The sequence below is a fragment of the Homo sapiens genome, chromosome 3 (assembly GCF_000001405.40).
Source record: "Homo sapiens chromosome 3, GRCh38.p14 Primary Assembly".
In the NCBI taxonomy this organism is placed as follows: Eukaryota; Metazoa; Chordata; class Mammalia; order Primates; family Hominidae; genus Homo; species Homo sapiens.
The window spans coordinates 172,754,927-172,781,758 of record NC_000003.12 but is presented as its reverse complement, the minus strand read 5'-3'; the positions used below and the strand labels follow the sequence as shown (position 1 = coordinate 172,781,758).

Genomic DNA, 26,832 nt, shown 5'->3' with positions numbered 1-26,832 from the left:
GGGGTCAGTAAATTTAAAAGTGTGAATAAATGAGTGTGGCTGTGTTCCAATAAAACTTCTTTTAACCGAAACACGCAATGGGCTGGATTTGGCCCATGAACCATAGTTTGTTAATTCTTCATGGTCATTCTAAAATATTACTTCTTTGTAAAAACTTAGAAGAACATTTAAAAGCTTTATAATAAACAAACAAATCAGATGATAAAATGAGATGCCAAGAAATGACAGGCCCTAATTGAAATTCTAAGTGATTTTAAAGTAGACATCAATCAACAAGCTCTTATACTAAAGACTCTCTAAAGTTTCAACAAAGACTGCTGGGACACCCTTTCAGTGGGATCCCTGAGATTAAAATTATTTTTGTAATACTGCTAAAGCATTATTTGACTTTTTCACTCATTCTCTCACAAGTATACAGTTGTTTTCTGGAAGCTACATGATATGTGATATGCAACAGACTGAATGCAGAAGCAGATATGATAATCAGTCTTCTATTAAGCCAGACAGTAAAAAAACTACAATACTACCACTCCCCTTACTAATTATTTTTGTTTGGGAAATTATTTTTCTTAAAGAATGTTACTTGTGTTACCATGTAATGAGCTATTATTTTAAGTGAATTAATATAAAATTAGATATCCCACATGCAAAAAGATGAACTTAAACCCTCACCACAAGCAAAACAATTTTTGAAGAAAACATAGAAAACAATCTTCAAAATCTTGAGTTAGAAAAAAAATTTTTAGATATGAACTGAAATCACAGAAAAAATGAATACATTGAACTTCATCAAAATTTAAAACTTTTGTATTTCAAGAAAACTTGTATCTAGAATTTACAGAGAACCCTTACAACTCAAGAAGACAATCCAATCAAAAAACAGGCAACAGACAGTAGCCATTTCACCAAAAATAATATACAAATGGCCAATAACCATGTGAAAAGACACTTATCATTAATCATCAGGGAAATACAATTAAAGCCACAAGAGATGTCTCCTCACCCACTAGGATGGTTATAATTTAAGAAAAAAAAAGATAAGTGTTTTTAAAGAATGTGGAGAAATTGGAACTCTCATTCATTACTGGTGAAAATAACAACTGATGGGTCTGAGCTTCTCAGGAGGCTGACGTGGGAGGACCACTTGAGACCAGAGTTTGAGGCCGGCCTGGGTAATCTGGCATGACCACATCTCTAAATAAATTAACTAATTAACTTTAAAATAATGGGAAAACCCTGGCATTTTCTTAAAATTTTTAAATACAAAACTACCATATAGCTCATCAATGCTACTCCTAGGTATCTACTCAAGAGAAATGAAAACATGTCCACATGGATCTGCACACCACACTCTCACAGCAGCATTATTCATAATAGCCAAAAATGGAAACAATCTAAATGTCTATCAACTGGTGAACAGACAATTTAAAGTTAGTATAGCCATATAATGGAATATTATTTGACCAGAAAAAAAGAACTTCTAACACGCTACATTTAGATGAACTAAAAATCACATGCTAAGAGGAAACCATATATAAAAGACCACATACTATATAAACATATTTACAATACTATATAGTGTATCAAATAGTATATCTATATGCTATGTATATATACATAGTATCAATGTATAACATATTAAATATATAAAATGTCCAGAAAAGGCAAAATCATAGATACAGAAAGTACATTAGTGGTTGCCTATGGCTGGGTGTAGAAATAAAGATTAATTTTAAGTAGACATCTTATTTGGGGTGGGTAGTGAAAATCTCCTAGAGTGGATTTATAGTGATGGTTGTACCACTTGGTTAAGTTATTAAAATAACTGAATTGTATCATATTTTCTTTCTTTTTTTTTTTTTTGAGACAGGGTCTCACTCTTTTGCTCAGGCTGGAGTGCAGTGGCACAACTCACTGTAGCCTCAACCACCCAAGCTCAAGCAATCCTCCCACCTAAGCTTCCCAAGTAGCTGGGACTACTGGCATGTGCCACCACAGCCAGCTGTTTTATTTTTTGCAAAAATGGGTTCTCACTATGTTGACCAGGCTGGTCTCAAACTCCTAGATTCAAGCGATATTCCTGCCTCAGCCTTCCAAAGTGCTGGGATTACAGGCAGGAGCCACCAGGCCTGGCCTGAATTGTGTTATTTTAAATAGGTGAATTTAAAAACACGTAAGATGTACCTCAGTAAAGCTGTTAAAAAATAATACATGTTAAATAATATTTTAAAATTTTGAATACAGCAACTACCAATATATAAAATCCACATAGGTAAAACTTCTTCAATCTTTAAGAATGAAAAGGGATCCTGAAGACAAAAAATTTAAGAATTACAGTAAAGTTCAAAAGCGAGAAAAACTACTTTCAATAGCATAAAAGTAAACTCAAAGCAAGAATATTTTAACAGCCCACACACATCAAGAACTGGGAAGATTGAACTGTTCAGAAATGCACTTGAAAGAAAAAAAAGAAAGAAAAATATTATAAATAAGTCTAATCTTGGGGCAATATAATGCAGTGAATTCTGGCACTGACTACTGAGGTTTAAATACTGGCTCTTGGGCTTGTTACTTCTGTGCCCTTGGACAAGTTATTTAAGCTATATGTTCCTCAATTTCCTATTCTGAAAAATAAGGAATGTAATTATTCCTACATCATAGAGGATTTTATGAGCATAACTATCTGTTAGGGATTCCTCTAAATGCTTTACAAGTATTAATTCATAAACCTGTAAAATAAATACTTACATAAGAACATTGCTCTAAGAAAGCAAAATCATCTTTAGGCACTCTGAAATATAGTCTGCTCTGTTTCTGGTTAACTTTTAATTCCTAATGCTTGTTGAATAAAGATTGCTGTCTTAGGCCGGGTGCCGTGGCTCATGCCTGTAATCCCAGCACTTTGGGAGGCCGAGGCGGGCAGATCACAAGGTCAGGAGTTCGAGACTAGCCTGGCCAGCATGATGAAACTCCGTCTCTACTAAAAATACAAAAAACTAGCCAGGCATGGTGGCGCGTGCCTGTAGTCCCAGCTACTCAGGAGGCTAGGGCAGGAGAATTGCTTGAACCCGGCAGGTGGAGGTTGCAGTGAGCTGAGATTGTGCAATTGCACTCCAGCCTGGGCGACAGAGCGAGACTCCATCTCAAAAAAAAAAAAAAAAAAAAAAAAAGATAGCTAATAGCTCAGGAACTAAGTAATAAAGAAACTAAGGCTTAGAGAGATTAAGTAACTTTCCTCAAATCACACAGCTGTGAACCAGTATTGAAACTCAGTATTGTCTGACTCAGATTCCATGTTATTCCACAGTTCCTCCCCATTAGAAAGGGGGACTCAGTTTGGCAGGCGAGTCCCCAGTAGCTTTATTCATAATACCACTACTTCTTACAACATTTCTGAGGGAAAATGCCCGATACAATTTAGGACAGAGACTGAGATGTATTTCCTCCTCCTTGTCTATAATACATCAGAAATTCTCATAGGATTCTCTTAACTTTTCCTCTAAAAGAACGGACAATTCTACAGTTCTGAGACAGAGCAGATTCCAAAGCCTGGGCAAGAATATTAGATAAGTGGGGAAGTCATAAACAGATGGGGCTTAAGAAAGCTAAGCTACTTACTTCTTTTCTTCCTTGTTAAGATTTATTCTGCACTGTTAAGTAGGTAGAAACAGCGCAGAATTAATCTTAACCAGGGTTTCTCTTTTGCTGAGCTCATTGCACAGTAAGCCAACATACATGGGTTCCTGAAACAAGTACACAATTCTTTTGAGGCTTACGCTAAAATAACAACAGATATATATAAAAAGAAAAAGAACTCCTATCAATCTCTGTCTCTTGTTTCATCATAGTTGCATAGTTTTGAGACAGGGTCTCACTCTGTTGCTCAGGCTGGAGTGTAGTGGCATGATCTTGACTCACTGCAACCTCTGCCTCCTGGGTTCAAGCGATCCTAACACCTCAGCCTCCCGAAGAGTTGGAACTACAGGCATGCGCCACCACACCCAGCTAATTTTTGCATTTTTTGTAGCGATGGGGTTTTGCCTTGTTGCCCAGGCTGGTCTCAAACTCCTGGGCTCAGGCAATCCACTTGCCTCGGCCTCCCAAAGTGCAGAAATTACAGACATCAGCCACTGTGCCAAGCTAAGAGCAGAAAATTGTACATCAAGGATTAATGATGTTTAATCTTGAAAAAGAAAAATTCATACTGAGGAAAAGAGAGAGATGTATATAACAACCTCAAAAATTTTCATCTTACTCAAAACATCAGCTCACTAGACCTTGGAAGCAAAGTAAGGATGAGGCTTCTAAAGTTGTATACATAATACCTAGATAAGAAAATACAGTGAGTGCTAGTCTTAATTTTGAAAGTTAAAGGTAACACAACCATCATTTAGTAAACATTTACCGAAAGTAATCTAAATGCTAGACAGTGGGTGTAAACACAATGGGTAAAAAAAAGTTTTAACACTACAAAAAACTTAAGATTAGTTTGCCCAACTTCATGAGTCAGTTATTATTATCCCCATTTTATAAACAGGAAAACTGAAGCACTTAAAGTCACCTGACTTCAAACTCAATCAAATCTGCTTTGTTCAGGCCAAGCACAGTGGTGTAATCTAAGCACTGTGAGAGGCAGAGGCAGGCAGATTACCTGAGGTCAGGAGTTTGAGACCTGCCTGGCCAATGTGGTGAAACCCCACCTCCACTAAAAATACAAAAATTAGCCAGGTGTGGTGGCGCACACCTGTCCCAGCTACTAGGGAGGCTAAGGCAGGAGAATCATTTGAACCTGGGAGATGGAGGTTGCAGTGAGCCAAGACTGCACCACTGCACTCCAGCCTGAGCAACAGAGCGAGACTTTGTCGCAAAAAGAAAAAAAAAAAAACAAACCCGTTTTTTCCACTACATATTCTTAACCACTATGTGATATTATAAAATACAGACACCAATGTTTTCAGGAATGCTGTTATTGAGATGATACGAAAAACTGTACAAATTTAAGACACATTTACATGGTGTATTCATCTACATACCAAAAGAATGTATCTCAGCATGATTTTAAAGAAGCAAAATAGCATTAATAGTTAGGAGAACAGACTTTGAAGTTATACAAATAAAGGTTCAAGTCTTGGATCCAGCATTTATTAGATGACTGCCTCTGTAAAGTTATTCTCTGTGTGTACCGGTTTCACATTTCTAAAATGTGTACAATACCAACTTCTTGCTCAATAGATGTGGTAATGCTCAATAGATGGTTGGCTTCATTTAAAACAGGAAAAAAAACTGCTATGTGTTACGAGGATAAAGAAAAAAACCCAAAATTTTAGACATTTTTGGATAATGGAATTATGGGTATTTCTCTCCCTTTTTCCTTTTCTCTTGAGTTTTACAAATGTTTCACGGCACGTACTGGTTTCACGGTAGAAAAGAACATAAGCTTTAAAATTTTTAAATATTTGACAAACCTGCAATCAGCTAAAAAAAACAAATAGTTGCAGTGAGCTCAGATCAGGCCACTGCACTCCAGCCTAGATGACAAAAAAAAAAAAAAAAAAAAAAAGAAAAAACTGAAAAACTAATAGTTGAAGTACCATTTTACAAAAAAGAAGCTTAAAGAATTAAGTTACACTTGAGAAAACTAAAGGGTGACAAATTTTCAAAGCTTCACTGAATCAAAGAATATGATTTTCTAAATTAAGATTATGACTCTGCAAACATAAAATAACACATTTTGTCAAAGAAGGGTGTCCAGACTAGCTAAATAACTGACACAAATTCAAATTGATCCACAAAGTTAGCGGCAAAACACCAAGATAAAAACCTACTTGACAGGACAGTGACTTATGCCTGTAATCCCAGCACCTTGGGAGGTCGAGGCGGGCGGATCACTTGAGGTCAGGAGTTCAAGACCAGCCTGGTCAGCATGGCAGAATCCCAGATCCACTAAATATACAAAAATTAGCCAGGCGTGGTGGTGCATGCCTGTAGTCCCAGCTACTCAGGAGGCTGAGGCAGGAGAATCACTTGAACCCGGGAGGCAGAGGTTGCAGTGAGCCAAGATCGCACCACTGCACTCCAGCCTGGGTGACAGTGTGAGACTCCACCTCAAAAAAAAAAAAAGAAAAAAACCCACAAAACCTACTTGACCTTCCATTCTGCTTTTGTGCCACCCAGTAATTCTTACAAAACAAAAAATATTCCAAGAGTACTTTCCTCTTCAAAAATTCAGAATCCTAATTGGAATAGGATTAACTAGCCTGAAACTCTCTAGCTTTCTAAGCTTTTTAAACAAATAGATTCCTTCAGAGTTCTCTTTAGATCTAGAAATTAACTGAAATATGATCAGCAATACTGATAAAACACAAAATACAAGCAATTGGTAAATATCATTTTAAATAATTTATAGATCTTCTATTTTTTGTTTATAATGTATACTAAAATAAAAAACAATCTTATATATTTGAAAACATCCTGTAATTCCGATTGGTTCTTTTACTGGAATGTGACATAAATATTAATGTGAGTTATTTTGAAAAGAAAACTGATCAACTTTGCTCAAGTACTACATAGGTAAAATAAGAGGAAATAAAACTAAACTACTTACTTAAAAAGTAGTTTAAGAGTTCAGCTAAATCTGTTCAGGAATTATTTTAGTGTAAGAGATTGACACCTGGAATTCACAGGCCCTTCACCAAAGAGGACAGCATTGTCTCACATACTTTTGGCATTTACCTACCTATAAATGGAGAAGGGACTTAAATGAACTCTAAGTCCATTAGAGGTTTAGAGTTTTCAAAACAAGCCAAAGCAAAACAAAAATATACACCCCAAGAGCAAAAACAATAGGAACATAAGAAAAATAGTACTGGGAGTCACATGTTTCTACAGAATAGATTTCATAAAGCCTTAATTACTTGTTTGTAGGATTAACTGAAAATAAAAAACAGCAAACAAAGGTTAGGTGCAATGGCTCATGGCTGTAATCCTAGCACTTTGAGAGGCTAAGGCAGGAGGATCAGTTGAGTCCAGGAGTTTGAGACCAGCCTGGGCAACACAGCAAGACCCTGCCCTGTCTCTACAAAAAACTTTTTTAAAAAAATTAGCCAGGCATGGTTGCATGCAACTGTAATCCCAGTTACTTCGGGAGAGGCTGAGGTGGGAGAATCACTTGAGCCCAGGAGGTCAAGGTTGCAGTAAGTCATGATCAGGCCACTGCACGCTAGCCTGGGTGAGAGAGTATTCTCCATCTCGAAAAAAAAAGGCAGGGCATGGTGTCTCATACCTAAGATCCCCACACTTTGGGAGGCCGAGACGGGTGGACCACTTGAGGTCAGGAGTTCGAAACCAGCCTGGGCAGCATGACAAAACCCATCTCTACAAAAAAAATACAAAAATTAGCTGGGATGGTGGCACATGCCTGGGGTCCCAGCTACTCAGGACTTAGGCAGCGGGAGAATTGCTTGAGCCCAGGTGGCAGAGGTTACTGTGAGCCCAGATCACATCAATGCACTAAAACCTGGGTGACAGAGTGAGACTGTCTCAAAAAACAAAACAAAAGCAAACAACAAACATTATGAGGCACTGGAACAAAGAGACAAATGATTCAAAGGAACTAATAAGGGAATAAGAAGTTTTAGGTACAAAACTTATTTAGCTAACCAGAAGTACCTCAAAGATCATAATAAATATGTACAATCTGAAAAAAATTACTACCAATCTAACATATACAAATTTACCTTTATCTTAGTGTGTACATCAAAGATATCTGGGATGCTACCAAAAATAGTCTTAATCTCCTCTGGTGCAAGGATAGGTCCACCACGTTGTCCTTCCTCTTCCAATGGTACTTGAAATAACTAAATGAGAAAAAAGACTAGTTTAAGTAGATTGTGGGAAAAAGAAAAGAGCTAAAAGATAGACAGTGATAAAGGAGACACAAGATATTAATAGAGAAGGAAGTAATAATAAAAAATACTCTCCCTAAATTTGAGACATTTTCCCCATATTTTCTATTCTATTTTATGTACTCCATTTATATACCTGTGTATATGTATATACATATGCTCGTCATGAAATGTCATTAGAAGCAAATAAAACTTCACACAGTTCTGCAATCAATCATTAAAATTGTTAGTATGATACAAGAGTAATTTCTACTTTTGTATTCAAGTTACTAAGGATGAAAGCAACAAGCAATCTGCTGCCTCCAGACATATCTAATATATGTGCTAAATGTTTTAAAATTGTTAGTGTAGAAGCTTGGCTTGGGGGAAAGACTGGATTTGAAGCTAGAAGATCTGTTTGTATCTATGTTTCTGCTTGTATCAATCTAAAAAGTAAAAGAAAAAAACTAAGAACTAACAATGAGTTTGGCAAGGCCATAAGACACAAGGTCAGTGCATGCATATGCATGCACAGACACAAGTCAATTTTACTTCTATATACCAGTAATTTACAAATGGAAAATATAATGTAAATAGTATCACAATAAAAAAATAAAATACTTAAGTATAAATATATGTTCATGATGCTAAAAACTACAGTATACTGATGAAAGAAATCAAAGACAACCTAAATAAATGTAGACATATGGTCATGGATTGAAAGAATCAACACAGTAAGAATGTCAATTCTCCCTCAAATTGATTTATAAATTTAGTGCCAATCAAAGTTCCAGGGCTTCTGGCAGATATAGAAAACCTGATTCTAAAAATTTATATGGAAAGGCAAAGAAGCTTCTTACTACAAAGCTGTGGTGTTCTAGACTGTATGGGTATTCATGAGGGGAGAAACATACATAGATCAATAAAACAGATAATTCAGAAACAAACTCATGCAAATATGGTCAAGTAATTTTAGGCAAAGGTCCAAAAGCAATTCAATGCAGAAGGATAGTCTTTCAACAAACGGTATTACAATACCATCTGCCATAAGCAAAAAATGAATCACAGCCTAAATATAACACTTTATACAAAAATTAACTCAAAATGGGTCACGGACATAAACAAAAAACTTAAAACTATAAAACTTTTAGAAGAAAACAGAAGAGAAAATCTTCATGACTTAAACTTAGGTAAAGAGTTCTCATATATGATATCACAATCTATGAATGAAAAAAACTGTTAAATTAGACTTGAATAAAAATTTACTTTTCTTCAGCAAAAGACACGAGAGAATTTAAAAAATACGCTATGAATGACAAAAAAGCATTTGCAAGTCATGTTTGACAAAGGACTAGTATCCACAATATATAAAGAATTCTCGGCCGGGCACAGTGGCTCATGCATGTAATCCCAGCACTGTGAGAGGCCGAGGTGGGCGGATCGCGAGGTCAGGAGATCAAGATCATTCTGCCTAAGATGGTGAAACCCCATCTCTACTAAAATTACAAAAACAAAATTAGCCAGGCGTGGTGGCGGGTGCCTGTAGTCCCAGCTACTCGGGAGGCTGAGGTGGGAGAATGGGGTGAACTTGGGAGGCGCTCTGCACTCCAGCCTGGGCGACAGAGCAAGACTCAGTCTCAAAAAAAATAATAATTCTCCCAGCCTGGCCAACATGGTGAAACCCCATCTCTACCAAAAGATACAAAAATGAGCTGGGTGTGGTGGCACATGCCTGTAGTCCCAAGTGCTCGGGAGGCTGAGGTGGGAGAATCACTTGAACCCAGAAGGCAGAGGCTGCAGTGAGCCAAATCAAGATTGCACCACTGCACTCCAGCCTGGGCAACAGAGTGAGACCCTATCTCAAAAATTTTAAAGAAAGAATTCTCAAAACTCAGAAGGAAACAACCCAATTTAAAAGTGGGCAAAAAACACGAACAGTTATTTCAACAAAAAAGATATACAGATGTCAAATGAAGACAATATGTTCAACATCATTAGTCATTACGAAAATGAAAACTGAAACCACAATGAAAGATTCTATTTTTCCAATATTTCTCAAATCTATCCTCTTATCAACACTGATACTATCCTAAAAAGTTCAGATCTTCAAAATCTCTCCCAACTGCTGAAATAGCCTCTAAATTATCATTGATTCCCCAATTTCCCCTCTTGAATTCCTCCTTCAAAGTGAACCAAGTTATCTTTCTGAAATGCAAGTCAGATATTATTGATCTCTCGTCTCATAAAAAAATTATTCTATAGCTTAGATAATATAGCACACCACTCAAAGGCCTTCTCTAGATTGGTATAGGCCATCTCATCTCAACTGTCACTGTATCCATATGCCTACTACACCCTTGCTATTGATAATACAGAATGATCACTTGTATTGTTTACTCGGTCTCAAAGACACTTCTCATCTATATCCTCTACTTGTACCAATCATATTCATACTTTAAAATTCACTTCATTATGAATATACTCACCGTTTTGATTTTATAATAGTAACGACAAGCTAAACATTCACTATATTAAGACCACGCGTGTGTCTCAGACTTACCTTTCCCTAGGTCTGTTTTTATAAATGCTGGTGATAAACCAGCTCTGACTTATATGATCATTTTGTATGACCATCTAAGGGCTGTGATTCTATGTTACCTTTAGTCATCTTTAAGGAAAATGATAGTACAGCTAATCTAATAACTTTTGCAAATAATCAGTGCTAATTTGGAAACTTCTGTCAAAAAAAGGCATTACCAAAGGAAGGAAATTTCATGTGTACCAGCTGCTATTAAATAAACTGTGAAATTACTGTATTTTTCTAGAAAAAAAAGTTCACTTCGATCATTACCTTCTGTATGAAGCTTTTTCTGATGCACAACACACAGAAAATTCCAGGCCAATACCTTCCCTAAACTAAACGAGTAGTAAAACTCTCACTTTACAAATCTAATACCTTAACTCCTTTATTATGCTGATACCTTCCATTTGGTAATTATAATTGTGTATGTTTTATCTCCTCTTCTAGTATAAAGTTCTTTAAAAAAAAAAATCTTTAACACTTAGCACAGTACTTTATATTAATTAGGCATCCAAGTAGTATGTGGAATAAAGAAGCCTCTGGATATTCATTTAATTTTGAGGATAAGCTATAATTAAGTTATTCCAAATCCTATCCCCCCAAAAAGGAAAATATCAGTCCTAAAACAAAGCTCTTTAATGAGAATATTATCATGGGCTGGGTGCAGTGGCTCAGGCCTGTAATTACAACACTTTGGGAGGCTGAGGCAGGAGAATCACTTGAGCACAGAAGTTTGAGACCAGCCTGGGCAACATAGCAAGACCCCATCTGTATAAAAAAAAATTTTTTTAAGGAGAGAATACTATCATGAATTTAGGCCACAATCTTTTAAACAAACCTTTGATGAGTTTATACTAAGCAAAGTGGTATGAAACTTTCTCCAGTCTAATAATTTCGTGAGATTTTTTAAAAGGAGTTTTAGTGAATTTAATTGATATGCAAATTAGAATTCTGAAACTTCAATGCATTTTACCATGGCTTGAAAGAATTTACATTTCTAAGCAATAAATGCTACTAAAGTACATGAATAGTATATGCCAAAGGGATTTTTTGCTACTCAACCACATTTTGAATCATTATAAAAACTTCAACAAGAAACTCATCTATCTAGAGTGATTTCCCTTGAGAAGGAAGAGCAAAGGTGACTTAAAATAAAGCTAATACAGCAAAGAACCTCATAAAACCCTGACTGCTCCTAAACAAATAATTAACCATGAAAAATAACTTCTCTATGACCATCAAGTAAGAAGTCTTTCCATGTCTTATCCATGTATTTTATCAATGGTACAAGCAACTTAAAGGCTATTAAATTGGCCCTTAATGAGTTATTTTATGAATTCAAATAAAAGTCAATTAAAAACTAAACCCAAATCAGAAACTCCCTATTGTTTTCTATTGAAAGATAAGCTTGGTGTTACCAACTTCATTTTCTTAACAGTATGTCAACCTATCTCTTTTATTACCTAAAACAGATTTCTTCCTTCTTTCTACAGATACCAACATAATGGCCTATTATTGTCTTTTGGAATCTTAAATTTCAGTTTATTCCTTAATATCTTCTATAATCTCATCCTACAAGGATTCATTAGAGCTGTTTTCTTCAGAAATAACTTTATAGTACATTTTAATATTGGTAAGCAATGAGTTAACATCTATTTATGACTAACCACTGCATATTTCATGTGTCACATGAAATGATTACTGAAAAAAATTACTTATATCAACACTGTTATGCTTCATTGCTATTGTATAGGCGATGTTTTTCACATATATACAGTACTAAAAACAAAGCAATGACTCTCAGAACCCATACTTTCAGAAAAAGTTATCTATCACTTCCAAATATAAATGCAGTATCTTGACAAGGAACCTGCAAAATTCTGAATTAAACTTGATACTCCTGAGATCATCTACTGAGTTCTGTTCTCTTTAAAGTAATTATTAAAAATGGTCCTATTTCTGGATAAATAAAAGGTAATACTACAGTTATGACATTTCCCTAACAGCAGTTTTTGTCACACAATTCCATTTTTAACATCCATGTTCAAATACTATGTTTATATAATTTTCTCGTAAGAAACAATATCACCTAGATTTTTTTACTTAGGAACACTGGAACAGAAATCATTTTTCAATCAAACTCATACTTACCTGAATAATTGTTGCCAATATATTAACATAATTACTTTCAGTTTGATAAAGCTCTTTTGCAACTTGCCACCTTGCTGACTGCTTTGAAGGAACTGGAGTGGAGCTTTTAGAAGACTTAGTACAAGACTTTGGGGTGTCTGAAACGTTAAAAGGTGGAAAGATTTAATGGAAGCCAAATATAAATACCAAACATTATGTAGACTTAACAAGATAAAAAGGAGAGAAAACCTACTCTTATAAATGTACCACCATACAGATTTCCAATAAAAAATTTTTTTCTCATAGGCTAAGGCCAGAAAAAAATAACGGTCAAAAATATCACTGACTCCAGTTGGTAGGCATTCCACTAAACAGCCTGTACTCTTCAAAAACGTCAAGGTTATTAAAAACAAAGAAAGACTAAGGAACTGTTCCAGGTTAGAGAAGACTAGAGAGAGACAACCTAACAAATGTGTATCCTGGATTGGATCATAGATCAAAAAGAAAAACACTTTTTCCTTTTGCTAAAAAGGACATTAAGACTTTTTAGGATAACTGATGAAATCTGAAGTCTACAAAACAGTTCACAGTATTAATGTTAATTTCCTTACTATAATAATGTAGTAAGTAATGTAGTTATTTAAGAAATATGTCTCTATCATAGGAAATAGACATTTAAGTACTTAAAGCTAAAGGCACATCATGTCTGCAGCTTACTCTCAAACAGTATAGATATTAAAAATACATGTGCACGTGTGTATTATATCTGTGTTTAGAAAAAGAGAGATTTTGACTGAATGAATGCTAAAGCAAACATGGCAGAATATGTCCCTTTGGGAAATCTGGGTAAAAGGTATAGGAATCTTTGTACAGCTAAAATAAAAAAACAGAAAGGGAGATGTAAAAATACTTACATGTAAAGAGGAAAAGGTTGTTGTGATTACACAATTACAATAACGAAAACTTGTCATATACTTATGTCAAAAAGAAGCCCCCCCACAAAAAACCCAATATTAACTGAAAATTCTTTGGTAGTTCAAACTGTCTTAACGTAATATAAAACAACCAGTACAGAGTGGAAGGAGGATGCAACAGTGTATTTCATATACATTTCATGAAAGAAAAAAATTTGCGGCCAGGCACGGTGGCTCACTCCTGTAATCCCAACGCTTTGGGAGGCCAAGGCGGACAGATCACTTGAGGTCAGGAGTTCGAGGCCAGCCTGGCCAACATGGTGAAACCTCATCTCTACTAAAAATACAAAAATTAGCTAGGCGTGGTGGTACATGCCTGTAATCCCAGCTACTCAGGAGGCTGAGGCAGGAGAATCTCTTGAACCCAGGAGGTGGAGGTTGCAGTGAGCCTAGATCCTGCCACCACACTCCCACGCCACCACACTCCAGCCTGGCGACCAAGCAAGACTCCGTCTCAAAAAAAAAATCTATACACATATCTATAGATATATATACATCTTTTTAATGTATAAAAGCTTAAAATCTGTTTTCTTACTGTTAATATGGTTAGAATACTTTAACATTATATATAGAAGCACCTAATAGCAAGTTTTTCAACAGGAAAAGGAATGTATGACATAAAATAGAAATAGGTGACAAAGAACCATAATATATATTTCCAGCACATCAATTTTACTCAATGATAAACAATTTTAAATGCTTTTATATGAAAACAATTATGTACTATGGAGTTCTGAGTGCTTTTTTTTGGAGATGGAGACTCACTCTGTCCCCCAGGCTGGAGTGCAGTGGTGCCATCTCGGCTCACTGCAACGTCCACTTCCCGGGTTCAAGTGATTCTCCTGCCTCAGTCTCCTGAGTAGCTGGGATTACAGGCGCACACCACCACACCCTGCTGATTTTTGTATTTTTAGTAGAGATGGGGTTTCACCATGTTGGTCAGGCTGGTCTCGAACTCCTGAACTCGTGATCTGCCCTCCTCAACCTCCCAAAGTGCTGGGATTACAGGCGTGGGCCACCGCGCCCAGCCCCTGAGTGCTTTTTAAAAAAAACAGAATCTCAAAAAATTTCCCACTTGTCAAACATTATTTTAGGCTACACTCACCAGACCCAGAAGCCTCTGCCATTACAGAATATACTTCAGTGGGAAAAAATTGAGATGCACTGATCTAATTTAATTATTCTGTGTCTAGACAATGACCTACAAACTGGGGAATCTATTTTACAGAGCACCTAAAATATCAGTATAGTTGTCACATCTGTTTACTTCGGTGGTTCATTTTGTTCTCTTGTCTCCTAAAATGCATATTCAAGTTTCAGTCCTTTATGTTCTCCTCTTACCATCCCATGCTATTGTCCATTATGATTATAAAACTAGTACATTCTCAGATCTAATCATGATCTCCCTCTCAAGCTGGTTCAACTTTTCCAAATGCTTACTGGATAGTTCTGCCTTAATGTAACTTGGATTTCTCTAAAACTTCACTACCTCCCTCCAAAATATAAATTTCCTATCCATGCCAAGGCAACATTTCTTTCATTTAAATTAGTAATTTGCCTTCATCTCTTTTTATTTCCTCCCTATTGCTTTATTCTACCAATATTTCTCCAGTGCTTCTTACTTTTCTTTCCAACCACCACATACTCTGGTTCAGCACCTTATTATTTCATGGCCGAAGCGATTGTAATAGATTACATCATGGTCTGACTGTCTCCAAACTGCCTTCCTTCTAATCATTCTTCAGAACAACTCTCTATGAATTATCTATTCAATCAATTTCTCTGCTGCTCAAGGAGTTTCTAAAATTCCTTGTTGATGACAATATACAGTTCAGATATTACAGTCTTATTTGAAAGTGACCTAATATTAGGCCTCAATTAACATTTTTAACTTTTATTCCTCCACATTCCAAGCAAACTGATCTATCCATTATTCTCTAAAAACTCAGTTTGTATGCTATTATCTGTATATTTGCTCCTCTTTATATTCTCAAATTCATTTCAAATTTCTGGGCCAACCTTGAATTCACTTTCAGTTCTTCCCTTAAGTATTTAGTGAATACCCACTTTATACTAGGGTCTGAGGATAAACACAGAATAAGACAGACAAGGTTCATTTTCTCTTAAAGATTACTTATTTGAAGCAAATCAAATAATAAAGAAGTAAACAAGTACTGTAATTTCTATCGTAAGAACTACTACTAAAAACAACTACCAGGTCACAGGATTGGCAGAAAGGAGTGGAGGGATTTAACTTTACAGACAATCCACGCAGATTTCCTTGAGGCAGAGAAAGTAACAAAGTCCTGAGGTATGGATGTACTAAAAATATTTGAAGAATAACAAAGATGGTATGACTGAAGCTTAGAGAGTACAGGCATTATTAGAGAGCATAATACCACATGAGATTAGGCAGATGAGGGCAAGATTACATAGGGACTTAAAAGCTACAGTAATAGAAAGCCATTAAGTGATTTTAAAGCAGAGGAGTGGCATCATCTAATTTATATATTTTTAAAGATTTTTCTAAGTGTTGCATATAGAAAGGCACAAATTAAAAGGGAGAGACTATTTAGGAGACTACTGCAATCATCTAAGAGAGATCCTTTTTACAGAAAAGACTGATGAAGAGGAGCAAAGGAACAGAGGAATTAAGAGTGGCAGAATCCAAAGGTCTAATTTGGTTATCTTAGGTTTAAGATATCTATTAGACATGGACAAGGAAGTACAAAGTAGGTAGCTTGACAGGGAAGAGGACAAATTTGGGAGTCATCAGCATACAAATGCTTTTCAAAACCATAGATTTTACTACGATAATTTAGGGAGAGTACAATAGAGAAGAAACAATGACTCAGGAGGAACATACAACATTTAGAATTGAAAAAAAGAAGTTAGGCCAAGGAGAATGAGAAATGAGTAAGTAATATCACAGAAGCAAAGAAAAAAAATTGTGTCCATAAAGGAGTAGCTATTCATGTGTTGAATGCATAAAAACTGTCTCCCCAACAAGGACTGCAGATCAGTTGGAATGCGTTGAAAGGACAACGAGAATCAAGGAAATGAGACAATAGATCAAAGTAATTCTTTTAAGTATGCTGATGTGAAAGCAAACAGAAAAATGGGACAATAAGTGAAAAGTGTCATGAGGTCCGGAGGAGATTTTGATTTTTTTTGTTTCTTAAATCTAGAAAACACATTTGTTTACAGACTAAAAATCAAAAAGAAAGGGAAATACTGATAACCAAGGAAGAATTATAGGAGCCTTTCTGTATCAGTTCAGCACAAAGTGAACTCACCCTCCTCTGACTTCATTCTACCTATTTTCTCCATAATTTATGTGACCTCCCCTGTGACTTTGTTTGCTTTTTGAACAGCACTATCACTCTCTAGTTATATGACCCTGGAGAAATTACTTAACTTCTCTGTATCTCAGTTTAGTCATCTGTAAAACAGGAATAATAAAATCTATTATAAACACACAAAACGTATAAAGCATTTAGCATGTAGTAAGCAGTCATTAAATTGCAACATTATTAAGCTTAACTATTCATGTGTCTTTTCTCTACAGCTAGAACAAAGGTAATTAAAGGCAAAGACTTCCATATTCACTATATCAGGGATTTATCTAAATTCTAACAATTATTCCATTCCACTAAACTTTAAAGACAAGTTTTTAAGAATGTGAATTACCTCCATAGTTAATGCTAGACTCTGGTGTGTTGGAGATATCTAGGAGTGACCCTATGGAAAGGGAATGCTCAGCTGATGGGCGCTTACGGGGTGGAAATGGTGACACGTCTGTCTCTCTTGAAAGCTGAGCAAGTGTTTCTTTTAAACGACGTCGTTTGCGATTGCTGTTAGGGGTATTTAGAGAAAGCATTGACACTGATTTCTTGAGCTCAGGAGTATTTGCCTGTAATCAAAAGCACACAAGCTCAATTTACTTCCATGGTTCTTTACTGAGACAGGAACAAGAGAAAAATATATTTACAAGTCTGACAGAATCTGGATTTTGCACAATAATTTTATAACCCTACACTCTACCAGGCAATTCAAAAGTTTCATAAAACATAATAGTCAAGAGACGACTGTAATTGTCTAACCTCAAGCACCTCATTTTTCTTCATAGCCACTATCACTATTATATTTTCATCTGTAAACTTGTTTACTACCTGCTCCTTCATTAGCTCATCAACTCCAAGAAGGCAGGGGCCATTCACAGTCTGTTCGCTGTATCCCTAGCACAGTGCCTGGACACAATGCTTTCCAATATGTGCTGAGTAACACTTGATTTTTAAGAGTTCTCTCCCTAAATCTAAAGCACACTTTTTAAACTTTAAGAACTTCACATTTCAAAGACTCTGAAGAGAACACAATATGGTACTATATAGATTTTACAGAAACAACTCATCTTCAATATTCCACACAAAGTTATTAAATCCTAAACTGAAGTAAATCTTCCCTTAAAGACTACTTCCATAACTTTGTCATTTTGGTGAGTGATACTACTCTTCACCAAGATTCACCATAAACACTAGATTTTCCTTAACGATATTCTACTATCAAACTCATCTTTTTAATGACGTCTCTCCCCTTACTCTTCTTCAATGGCTCCCAATAGTTATAGGATAATATCCAAGCTCATTAATGTATTAAAAACTTCTTGATTCTATCTATCCATTAAGTTTTATCTGTTGGCCTTCCTTCCCACACTGTAAAGCCATACTAAACTACTTGTTATTTTAATGTACTCTCAAAGCTTTCATACCCTCTCCCAATTGGGGTTCTAACGAATGTCCTTACCTAGTTGGCCTAGTAAGTTGGGTCAACATTTATTTCACCTTTTTATTCCCTCCTGAGTCTCTCAGAGCGAGGCTACCTAAAATACATTACTCAGTTGTGGCACACATCATTCCCCATCGTTAACTACGTACAAATCTATCTTTCCATTAAAAGTCTAAGTTTCTGAAGATAGAGATGTTCTTGTTCGTAATGTTATCACCAAGAATTCGCACAGAACAACATATATTAGGTTAAAATAATACACATTACATTGAATAGTTCCACTTAAATCTACATAGACTAAGATAACTTGATATCCCAATTGTTTTAATCATTCTGAAATTCCTAAACATGCTTCTAAACCTTCTGGACAGAAAAGTGTTATTTTCAAACAATCAAGCTCACAGAACAAATAAGTAAGGGGTTAAAAGCATACCTTTTCATATAAATACATAGTTTCTCCAGCTCGGGCATCCATTTGAATGCTTCCCCAGAACCACTAGGTGAGAGAAAAAACATTTTAATAAACAGTTTACATTTATTTTATCAGAGAAGCTATTAATAGTGTTTTTAAAAACCAACCTCATTCTAGAATTACTTGCCTCTTGCTTGACAACATAAAGTTTCTTTGAAGGTTCAAAGGGAAGATCTTTTACTATATTCTCTTCAACTACAAGGTGAGTGCATCTTTCATCTCCAAGCGGTAAATATTTACCTCCTAAAAAGGAATGCACATAAGCATAAATAAGCCAAGCTACTTATTTCCAAACTCAAATTTTTTAAGAGGTATATTGACCAGGAAGTGATTAAGCAGGCCTAGGGACTAAAATAGATATAACTTTTACATTATGCTAAATTTTACCTTGCATTTCAGTCATTTCTTCCATATTGGTTTTCTCTTCATCTGAAAATCCCAGGAAACTTAAAATACAATCTTGAAATGGAGGAACTTTAAATTCATTTCTAAAGTCATCAACTGCTGCATAGAAATCCCTAAAAACAAAATACACTCTTCCAAAACCAGTTTAACTTAAATTCAAGTGTTAGGTATATCAATTTACAAACCTACAGTAATTTTCAAGGTCTTGGCATAATCTATCTATTGAAACTATTTAATATTTGGTCCTGAAATGCTCACAAAAACTTCAGTTTAAAAAAATGATGTGTCCTGTCATCCCAAAAGTAACTTCTGACAAAATGTGATCACAGATAAGCTTTACAAGAGATTCAAATTTTTTCTCTATTATTTGAAGATTTATATGTACTGTGTTCCAAGGCTTTCATGAAATCTAAAATAATGATAACTTTCATGAAATCTTAATTCATGAAGTGCCACAGCAAGAAATCATGCGCTTGGAAAACTAAGCAAAACAAGGCAATAAATTTCAAGCACCAATTAAAATGTAACCAGATAACACAAAATTTTAAAAATATGTAACAAAATCCAAATACACAGAATTATTTAGCTATTATCTAATAATTTCAGAATGTTTATAATAGCCAAAATTACTTCACAAGGTAAAATCCAAAGATATCAAAGATATCTTTCAATTTTTAATTTTTTATAATTTTTTATAACTTGTTCTCCCTAGATTTTATTCCTCAAGCTACTCAGACTGAATTCAGTTTTTATATCTATGAAATTACTTTTTTCAGCACATGGATTTATCTTTAAACCAGAATGTTTAATTTACATAATGAACTACTGAGTTTCTAAACACTTACTGTTCATTCCGCCTTTCCCAAGCTTTATAAATCCATTCTGGCTTCATAATTGGAGTACCTAGACTCACAGCAACCTAAAAATATAAACATTACAGTGAATTTTCTCCTTAAATAACTGCATTCAAGGAAGTTCTAAACAGTTAACATACTTAATTTTTTGCAGTTTTAGATCACTATCTGCTTTGTAACAAAATAATTTAAAAATTAACAGACAAACTATCTTCCAATCATACAAGTTAGGGTAAAATAACTTCAAAACAAGTTCCATGGTGTCCGAACTGTTTCCTTATTTTAAATAAATATATCTCTGAAGTTCATCTTTATTAAATTTCTATTTCTCCTTTCTTCACGTTTACTTCCTTGAAAGTATGACCCTCAAGATGGCACTACAGAAGAAGACATCCGACTAAGTCACTAAAACCTTAGATATGAGTTGAAATATTTAGGGTAAATTGAAGAGTACACTAAAATTACCATTTGCTACACAAATACACTAAGGGAGACTAAGAAAAAATGATAAACTCTTGCTAAGACATTCAACTATAATCTTAAACTAAGATTCAATCCTAGTGAGAGTATTTTCTCCTATTATAATATTCACAAGTTAAATCTTAGAACCACTTTATAAGAGCAGAGCTCTGTTCTTATGAAGGGCACTTAGACAGCCAGGCACAGTGGCTCATGCCTGTAATCCCACCACTTTGGGAGTCCGAGGCAGGCAGATCACCTGAGGTCGGGAGTTTGAGACCACCCTGGCCAATATGGTGAAACCCTGTCTCTATGAAAACTACAAAAATTAGCCGGGCATGGTGGTGCGCACCTGTAGTCCCAGCTACTCGGGAGGCTGAGGCAGGAGAATGGCGTGAACCCAGGAGGCGGAGCTTGCAGTGAGCCGAGATGGCACCACTGCACTCCAGCCTGGGTGACAGAGAGAGACTCAGTCTCAAAAAAAAAAAAAAAAAAAAAAAAAAGGCACTTAGACAAGAGTAAATTCCCTACTTTCACAATTCCTACAATGTTATTCATCTACCAACCCCCACGATCCTAGTCATCTTTCAACACCTCACTCAAGTTCCATTGCCTACTTAAAACTTAACCACTCGGCCAGGCCTGGTGGCTCACGTATGTAATCTCAACACTTTGGGAGGCCAAGGCAGGAGGATCACTTAAGCCCAGGAGTTCGAAAGCAGCCTGGGTAACAGAGCAACACCCCATCTCTATTTAAAAAAAAAGAAAAGAAAAGAAAAGAAAGAAAATTTAACCACTCTTATGATTTAAAATTTTTTACTAAATATATTCATAGCAAAAATTGAGTTTCTCTTCTTTAATTGTGAAAGAAATAGATAAAAGACTGCTATTATTAAACCCATGCCAAAATAATGCTGTATTGAAATACACAAAAATACCCAAGTTTACATACCCTGAATTTTTCTCCTTGTGTACAATTTGCCACCAAATGTGTAACTTTTGAATTAAAGTCTTTTCGAATAACTCCACCCATGTGATGGACCAATGTCACCAACCTGACCTCAAAAGAAAAATTAAGCAACACTGACTTTATGGTTAATTTGAACAAAATTTTAAACTATGTTTACCCCACATTTAGCATTTGCTAAATACTTTCTATTTATAAAATACATACGGGATTTTTATAAAGCTATTAAATTTTATGTCAAAGTAAGTATAAAAAAGATTAGTTTGCCTATTAACACAGGCAAAATTATAGAGGTGGGATTAGTAAAGATTTCACACAAATGTAAGTTAAACAACCGCCTTTCCTATGGCCTAAATATATTGCTTTTTAATACCATACTGTGTAAATATATTGGTTTTTTTAAAAAAATACCAAGTTTTATCACATCAAGACTGTTCCCACAAAATCAGAGTAATACCCATCAGTTCCAACAACAAAGTATTGTGAACCAAAGAAAGAACTTTCTGGCCGGGCGCGGTGGCTCACGCATGTAATCCCAGCACTTTGGGAGGCCGAGGCAAGCGGATCACGAGGTCAGGAGATCAAGACCATCCTGGCTAACACGGTGAAACCCCATCTCTACTAAAAATACAAAAAAAAATTAGCCAGGCGTGGTGGCGGGCGCCTGTAGTCCCAGCTCCTCGGGAGGCTGAGGCAAGAGAATGGTGTGAACCTGGGAAGCGGAGTTTGCAGTGAGCCGAGATTGCGCCACTGCACTCCAGCCTGGGTGACAGAGCAAGACTTGTCTCAAAAAAAATAAAATAAAAATAAAAAAGGAACTTTCTATGAATTCTATAGGGCAACAGAATACTTTCAGGCTGAACTTGCATAATAAGAAATTGCAATGTATAAACAAAAACTTTAAATAACCAACGTAGCCAATATGGTAACAAGACAGTCAAACAGAATTGCTATGAAATCTTTCTATTAATTCACATCAGCCAGCCTAGACAAAACACTGGTCTCTTTATAAGGCTCTTCAGGATTTGTTTCTTCAGAAAATTTAAAATCTGGTATAGCCATAATAAGTTATCCTTCAATATTTTAAAAATAAAACCATAATACTAAAAAGAAAAAAAAGCCAATTTTAATTTATTTTGCTGTAAAAAATACGCTTTGAATTTGTTTCGTAATACTTACTAGTTCTTCTTTTTTCCTAAATCCAGTAAAGCATAGTACTAGATTCATCATACTTGTACAATACAACGGGCGACATGAAAATGGCAAAGGCTGAAGGATACAACAATTTTAAATGTGAGCTTTCTCTTTAGTAGAAAATACAACACAACTTTCTCAAGCTAAATATATTTCATTTCCCCTCTTGCCATTCAACTTTCCCAATCCAAAGATTTACTGGCATTTTTTCAATATGCAACAAAAAAACAGCAAAACGACAGATTGCAAGTTTCCCAATAAAAATATTTCCCGATTCCTTAATCATATGCAATATACATAATCTAAACACACTTTACTCTCAGCAAATTAAACAAATATTAAATGCACTCTGACAGACATGAAGTACTGACTATAAGCAAAGTTTTCAGACTCCATACACTACTATAGATGATTCTAATTAATGTCATTAAAACAGGTCAGAGGCATTTTATAATAAACACTGAGTAAATATAATACACACACTTAAACCAAATATAATTCTAATCTTTAAGCTAATAAATGGTGATATTCAGTAAATAATTTACCCAACGGTTGTGTGTGTGTGTGTCTGTGTGTGTGTGTGTGTATAAAAGAGAACGGTTTAAAAATAATAAAAGAATAAATTTGATTTTCATCATTATATAAGATTATTTTTCAAAATTTGGCCTTTTAAAGTTTATTTGGGTTTTGAAACCAACCACTCCAAATCAAAATGTAAGAGAATTAAAGGTTAACATGTGCTTATTATTACTAACATGTGTAACAATAGAAGTACAAAGACCTAAGCAATTTTAAGTAAACAAGGCAAGCTTAAGAATGCCAAGACAGCAACAAAACCAAATAGGGACTAACTCTCATACGACTCATATTGAAATGCTGTTTAAAAACAAAAAGAAGCGGGGCACGGTGGCTCATGCCTGTAATCTCAACACTTTGGGAGGCAGAGGCAGGAAGATAACGTGAGGTCAAGAGTTCGAGACCAGCCTGGCCAACATGGTGAAATCCTGTCTCTACTAAAAATAGAAAAAACTTAGCCAGGCGTGGTGGCATGCACCTGCAGTCCCAGCTACTTGAGAGGCTGAGGCAGTAGAATCGCTTGAACCCGGGAAAGCAGAGGTTGCAGTGAGCAGAGATCGTGTATTTATTTATTAAATAAATAAATAAATACAAAAAGCTAAAATAATTTTTGAATTTTAAGTTATACAGTAACTGATAAAAATGGAACCGTGGTATCTGTTCTGTGTTGAGAAAAATAAAAGTTTATGTATATGTATGAATTTCTGGAACCCAAGTTTAAGCAAGTAATCTTCTCTAAGACATTGTGGTATTGATAGTGTATACGCCAGGCGCAGTGGCTCACGCCTGTAATCCCAGAACTTTGAGAGTCCGAAGCGGGTGGATCACGAGGTCAGGAGATCAAGACCATCCTGGCTAACATGGTGAAACGCCATCTCTACTAAAAATACAACAAAGTAGCTGAGCATGGTGGCGGGCACCTGTAGTCCCAGCTACTGGGGAGGCTGAGGCAGGAGAATGGCGTGAACCCAGGAGGCGGAGCTTGCAGTGAGCTGAGATCGTGCCACTGCACTCCAGCCTGGGCACAGAGCAAGACTCCGTCTCAAAAAAAAAAAAAAAAAAAGGACTATGTATTTGTCTGTGTATATGCATATGTACAGTTATCATTATTTAACTTTCAAAGGCCTTAGCTTTTCACCACTAAGTTTAAAATGGAGGAATTAAAGGACCACATTAGAATAGCCACTATTATTCCTATTCTAAATATTTTGCTCTCAGCAATCAATGAGATTTTTCCAAATAAATTTTTTGCTAATTAAAATTCATTAATAAAAATTTTAACTTGAAAAGTCATAATAAATGTATATGCTTACCTCTCCTTTTTGTGAACAATTTAATACAACTGGTGGTCCAATAACTCTACAATCAGCCTTGTAGAGGTCATTAAAGACAGAATCCTGAAAGTCCGTGACTACAAATACATTTTCAAATTCCGGAGAATCCAAACCTTCAAATTCTTCCACTGACTCCATCTTTACAAAGCCCACTTTAATGTCCTTTTCATCATATAGTTAGCAGAAATAAAAATTATTTATATATCAAATAATCCATCTGTCTCTCTAAATAAGGCTTAACAATCAATTCAATATCAACTTTAACATGTTTATATTTGTAGAAAATAAGTTTCTATCACACAATAATCAGCATTACACTTAATGAACAACCATATTTCTTTACGTACTTACATTTTTACATATACATATCTCCATTCAAATTAAGTTCTTAAATTTTAAAGATCAGTATTATAAAGGCATAATTCTGACTTATTACTTATTAGTCATAAATCATCAAGTATGCATAAGTTCCATAAAATTAGAATGCTAAAGTTTTTAAGTACATGCATTTTGATATCAAGATGCATTAGAAAGATATCCACTACTGACCAAGAAAATGATACCATACATAAAGTTCTTATTGTACAAATTAACTATCTTCAGAAAAATAGGAAAATAATACTATAGCACTTAATACTTACAGAAAGGAAAATCAGCATAATCATTTTAGCAGATATGTAAGATATATGAGAAAGATGTGCAATATGTAGCAGTTGCAGCATGGCAAATGTAGGATATAAAAAGGCAAGTTACTTACAGTAAACACTTTATACATCCACGAAAAATAATGAAGATACTAAAGTACCTATATAACTCTTGTAACTCGTGTTAAATTAAAAAAAAAATTTTTTTTTAACTCAAAATGGGTCAGTAAATTATTTGAATTTTATTTGCAAGGCTAGTGTGATGTGCTAAATTATGTACCCCCAAAATTCATGTTGAAGCCCTAACCTAGAATGAAGAATGAAGTCCTTAGAGTGTGACTATATTTGGCGATAAGGACTTTAAAGAGGTAATTAAGGTTAAATGAGATAATAGGGGTGGGCCCTAATCCAACCTGGTGTCCCAATAAGAGGAAACACCAGGGATGCAAGGACACACAGAAGAAAGGCCATGTGAGGACAGCAAAAGGACACTGCAAGCCAAGGCGAGAGGCCTCAAGAGAAACTAAACCTACACACACCTTAATCTTGGACTTCTAGCCTCCAGAACTGTGAGAAAAGAAATTTCTACTGTTTAAGCAATTAACTATGTGGTATTTTGTTATGGCAGCCCTAGCAAACTAAAACAGCTGGATTCCAGAATTAGATTATTTCGTATGCTGAGGCAAATTCCCTGATTATAAATTACCGTGATTTATAATTTTGGAAATACAGCAAGAATTTAGACTAAATATAAAATGAATGAGAAAAAAGAAGCTAAGGAGTTAAAAAGTATAAAACAGTTTCTATTCATTAAGCTTCAGATTGCACACAATACACCTTGTGCCTAATTCCAATCACCAGAAAGTAGAATAATACAATCAAGGGAAGTGCAGCATGCCACATGCAATGAGTTACTTTGACCTACCATATTAATAACACTTTTTATTAATTTTTCATCCGATTTTCCAGGACAACTTTCTTTTATCTTTATAACAGGGACTTCCATTATTTTAATAGTCTGTGGAAAAGAGACTTAAGTATGAGGTTAAGAAAGCTATGAAACTATTTACACACTGATGGAAGAAAAATTGCATTACAAAAAAAACTAAAACCTAAAACTCCGTACCTTTAAGGCTTTTATAAGTTCTTCTTGTTTTCCAGCTTCTTGAACCAATATCACTCTTGTTTCAATCTGAGGCATCTCTTCTGTTAAAATGTAAAATGTTTCAATGTTTATCATGTATTAACATCACAATCAGTAGGTCCTTATCGCTCTTTTGGCTATATCTAGTATGTATTACATCTTTGAGGGAATCATAACTTTCTCTAAATTTAATAGGACTCAACTCCCAACTTATTACAAAAATATCTGGCTATATATCACTTTAGAGAAAGAGAAACCATATTGTAGCAGGGTATACAAACATCAGCATTCCTCCTAGCCAGAGAATGCGCTATCTTACATAGTCATCCTCCTCAACAGTGCATATAATTTTAGGAAAAACCCATTTATAAAGTGGTAAAGGAAAAAGTAGCTTTCACCTAACCAGTCATGACTGTATAACTTCTAGCTA

At 35.2% G+C, this 26,832-nt stretch overlaps 1 protein-coding gene and 1 non-coding gene across 49 annotated transcripts in view; one reads left to right on the top strand and one right to left on the bottom strand.

The window, feature by feature from the left end:
* ECT2 (epithelial cell transforming 2) overlaps positions 1 to 26,832 on the bottom strand; it is a 78,540-nt gene that overhangs the window by 47,507 nt on the left and 4,201 nt on the right. For 15 of the 48 annotated variants that reach the window (XM_047447621.1, XM_047447622.1, XM_006713524.5 and 12 more), the window contains 12 exons: positions 26,385 to 26,464; positions 26,184 to 26,276; positions 24,594 to 24,776; positions 22,690 to 22,779; positions 21,496 to 21,603; positions 20,076 to 20,149; positions 19,213 to 19,343; positions 18,953 to 19,068; positions 18,787 to 18,849; positions 17,259 to 17,481; positions 12,616 to 12,752; positions 7,737 to 7,856 (listed from right to left, as the gene is read on the bottom strand). In XM_047447621.1, coding sequence (XP_047303577.1) covers positions 7,737 to 7,856; positions 12,616 to 12,752; positions 17,259 to 17,481; positions 18,787 to 18,849; positions 18,953 to 19,068; positions 19,213 to 19,343; positions 20,076 to 20,149; positions 21,496 to 21,603; positions 22,690 to 22,779; positions 24,594 to 24,776; positions 26,184 to 26,276; positions 26,385 to 26,464 — 1,418 coding nt within the window. The remainder of the gene's footprint in view (positions 1 to 7,736; positions 7,857 to 12,615; positions 12,753 to 17,258; positions 17,482 to 18,786; positions 18,850 to 18,952; positions 19,069 to 19,212; positions 19,344 to 20,075; positions 20,150 to 21,495; positions 21,604 to 22,689; positions 22,780 to 24,593; positions 24,777 to 26,183; positions 26,277 to 26,384; positions 26,465 to 26,832) is intronic. The other 33 variants (XM_047447633.1, XM_047447635.1, XM_047447632.1 and 30 more) reach the window with 5 other exon arrangements.
* On the top strand, positions 10,354 to 10,482 carry LOC124900555 (small nucleolar RNA SNORA72). The gene has a single exon (XR_007096302.1). It is a non-coding gene; the product is annotated as a small nucleolar RNA SNORA72 (small nucleolar RNA).